This window comes from Homo sapiens, chromosome 8 (genome assembly GCF_000001405.40).
Source record: "Homo sapiens chromosome 8, GRCh38.p14 Primary Assembly".
Classification (NCBI taxonomy): Eukaryota; Metazoa; Chordata; class Mammalia; order Primates; family Hominidae; genus Homo; species Homo sapiens.
Genome location: NC_000008.11, coordinates 63,361,151 through 63,364,890, shown reverse-complemented (window position 1 = coordinate 63,364,890; position 3,740 = coordinate 63,361,151). Strand labels below are relative to the sequence as shown.

Genomic DNA, 3,740 nt, shown 5'->3' with positions numbered 1-3,740 from the left:
TGTTAAACAGGCAAGAACAAAAGCTCACCAAGAGCCTCTTTCAAACTGCTCTCAGCTGCAAAACATTTTCTCAAACAGACCTGCTTTTGGAGTAATAGACAAGGCTTCTCTGTTAAAAATTGAGGCAAGATTTTTTTAGAAGCTTCATGTTGTTATGAAAAAGCACAAGTCTCATACAGTAAATTTTTTTATAATTCTCTTTATACCTTTAAAGGGAAAATGCTCTGGGTTACTAAAGCAGAATTTTTGATGGTTGCATTTCAGGAGGAAACCATCATAACTGCTTTAAATAGACAACACTGTAATAAGGGCAGCTGATAACACAATTAATTCACTGAAGGGAGGAAAAGAGATAGAAAAGGCAAACTTTTGGCAAACTATTAATAGTACTTTAGTAGAAATAAGCATCCTGTGAGCCTAAATTACTGCTACAGAAAGACTGAAGAAATTTTTTTAAGTGAGGTCAAAGCCATTCTAATAGGCCTCAGATTTGTATTTAAGAGTCCCAGGAGTTGCTGGTTTGGTTGCACTCTATGCCAAAGCAAGCTCATATTAGATCACCTTGGAGACAGGAGGTGCAGCAGGTGAGGACTCTGAGTCGGAATCTGCTCTATCACTCACTAGCTGAATGAGCTTTGGCAAGTCACTTTACCTCATCTGTCTGCATCTGTAAAAGGAGATATAATATTACCTAAAGCACGAGTCATTCTTGGCATAACTGATGTTTGTATGTCCCACGTGTGCTCCACTCCTCAACAAATGAAATTTAGCAGCAAAGTCTTAAAGAAAAGTGGCATGAAACTGCTCTGATTGGACTAAAGGACACTGCAGTGGAGCCAGCCCCAGGTCCTAGTGTGCAAACAAAGAAAGGAGATTGAGGGGACATCCAGACACTCTTGAAAACTGCTATTTGGCATGGGTTAAAAAGCAACTTTTGAAGTTGACGATTTAGGTCTTGTTTATCTCTGCATTTCCAGTGCCCAGAATATGGTAGAAATATTCGATTAATGCATGGAGAATGCATGCATACATGAGTGAATGAATGAATGAATGAATCTTCTAAATCTTTCACCAAATTTTGCTCAGTTTGCAGTGGGCCTTTCTCTGGCCAGACTGCTGATAGCCAAGACCCAGAATGTACATCTGCTGTTGTTAAAGTTAAGCAAGACCTGTAAGAATGGCCAGAATATATTGGGTATCTTGAATCTGCTTCATAAGTTCTCTAGAATTCAAAAAGAAAAATGTCTGGCTACTTGAAAAAAGTGTATTGCCTGATAAATATTCAATAATTTTTAAAAAATAAATAAAAAAGATAACCAAATCTGTTCAATTAGTACCTGTGTATGTAGCCTTCCCTCCCCAGCCTCCTTTGCCCCGGGCAAGCTGAGGACACTTCTTTCATTATAGTCTGGAGCTGAGGGATCTGCTGAGTTGAGCTGAAAACAGGAGGCTTTTGTGGTGGCCCCTCCTCTGCAGCCACATGCCAACAGAGATTCGCTGCAAAAACAGGAGAGCTGCAATGCAGTATTTTCCTCTGGAACTTTGAAGCTATATTAAAGATTTCAGACATACAATGAAAGCCTATTTGTTTTCAGTGTTCAAATGCAACTTAAATGGTAGCTGTTAAAGGAGGCAGATGAATTATAGTCAGCTCAGCAGCACTTTTTTGAGCTGGCCGATCATAATGGTATTTTTCTGAACTAAATTATTTTAGGTCCCCTTAAAAATTACGTAGCTCTTCCCTAGAAAGGACCTGCTGCTAATAAGTGTAGCCCTTTAGTACCATTGTGGAGAGTAGAGCTGGAGAGAACTCAGCTGTCTGCTGAAAACAATCAGCCCTGAACCTTCCAGACCCAGGGAAAGAAAACTGATAAAGGACCAGCAGGGAACTCATAGCAAAACAAAGGGAAATTTCAAGCTACCTCTCCTTTTTAAAGGTCATTTGTCTTACTCCTACTGATGGTAATCACAGGGATTAGGATTTCTCACTGGAGACCTGTATCTCACAGGAGTAAGATCTGTGCAATCTTACTCCTGCGTCCTCTCGTTTCTGCACACTCGGTGTTCCAGGGTATGCATTACTGTCTAACACGCCAGCACATTCTTTTTCTTCCCTGTCTTGCCTGCACTTTCACATGCATGCTGCTAAAAAAAATTTCTAGTCTCAATATAATAAAAATCTGTCAACACCAACTAGTAGAATACATCTCAGTTGCCAATTCTGAAGTCCGACTTAATTCTCAGAAATCAGAAGAGAGTTAAGGCGAAGAAGAGGATCTGCAGTATTGGAGCTAAATGTCATGGGTGAAGTGTGAGAATGCCAGAGAACGGAAATGCAGCATTCCTTATCCACTCATTTTCATTTAGTAGATTTTTATGGTGTGGTATGGAAAGTGGAATTTGGTGCTGCACTTTCAGAGGGTGATACTCAGAACCAACGTAAGACTCCATTAATCCTCCTAACCCTTCAGCAAGATAAAGAGCTGGCTACAAACTCGGCTTTATAAGTACGGAAATGGAACACTAACAGGTTAAGAAACGTGGCCAAACTACTTGTCATATTAATGCAGAAAACCACACTGTGTGTGTGTGTGTGTGTGTGTGTGTGTGTGTGTGTGTGTGTGTGGTGTTTGGATTTAGGTCTACCGTTCTATTATTTTGCTTTCTGTCTTCAATAATTTTTGTTTCTCTTTTCATCCTTCCTTGCCCTTTTAAATTTATTCAAACATGTTTTAGTAGTCTGTTTTAATTTATTTCATTCTTTGATTTATTCCTTTGTATTTTGCCTATTTACATAGATATATCTGTATGTATATATACACATAAACTTTTTATAAGACTTTTCCCAGTATCTTCCCATTTCAAGAAATTCATACAATCTTATTAGAGAGTGAAAATGAGTTAAAATGTCTTTCAGAAAGTCAATCTTTGTTTTCTTCCCTTCCAGCTCACTTTATTTCCCCTCTCTGTCATCTCATAACTGGTTAAAAAAACCCCAGGATGGCTCATCATCAAATCATTAAGCCAGGTCTATGAAATTGCCACTTGGTTAGCTAACATTACCCTGCACTCAGAGGTGAAAATATTGAATCTTTAATTAACCTGAAACTTTTCTGCAAGCAGCTAGACTCTTTTATTCCCGAACATTAGATCCCAACTCCTCTTCCCATAACTAATATCTTAAAAGGGAATTTTCACAAAAACCAAACAGCTTCCTAAATAAGCTTTCTGCTTCTCTTCTTGAGAAATTGCTTCTGCCATGGAATTCTTTGAATGTCCTTCTCATATTCCCTACCTGAATTAATTCATCAATATTCTGTGAGAGCAGCCATATATGGGTATGAAAGAGAGAGTTTATACAGCCCTTCACCCTGGGCACCCCTGAAATGAGACCATTGCTTAAACCAACTAGCCTATCATAATATTGGCAATTTATAGAGATTTTTATGAGCAAGGTAATGACCATCTGAAATGATCACCTTGACTTCTCCTGATCCTTCAATTCTTTTAGCTTATTGTTATGAGGCAAAAGCTATGAAATATCTTATCCTGAGAGGCACATAAATCATCAGTAGAGAGATCATAGCAGAGTTCTGACTGAAGCAGCACTGCCATCCACGTTCAGTGGTGACAGATCCTGTGGGGGCATCATGAAGACACACCCTCTCTGCTGGTCATGTGGACAGAACTTGTGCCTTTGCTCCGCCATGCATTTGACTGCCTCTAGCATCCTCGGATGG

General features: G+C 39.3%; 1 annotated feature.

Moving 5' to 3' along the window:
• Window positions 1,687-2,218: an enhancer, noted in NCBI's record as "OCT4-NANOG-H3K27ac hESC enhancer chr8:64275231-64275762 (GRCh37/hg19 assembly coordinates)". NCBI's record gives its function as "activates a minimal SCP1, AML or CMV promoter by ChIP-STARR-seq in naive H9 embryonic stem cells {active_cell/tissue: H9 hESC(naive)}" and the evidence as "EXISTENCE:reporter gene assay evidence [ECO:0000049][PMID:30033119]".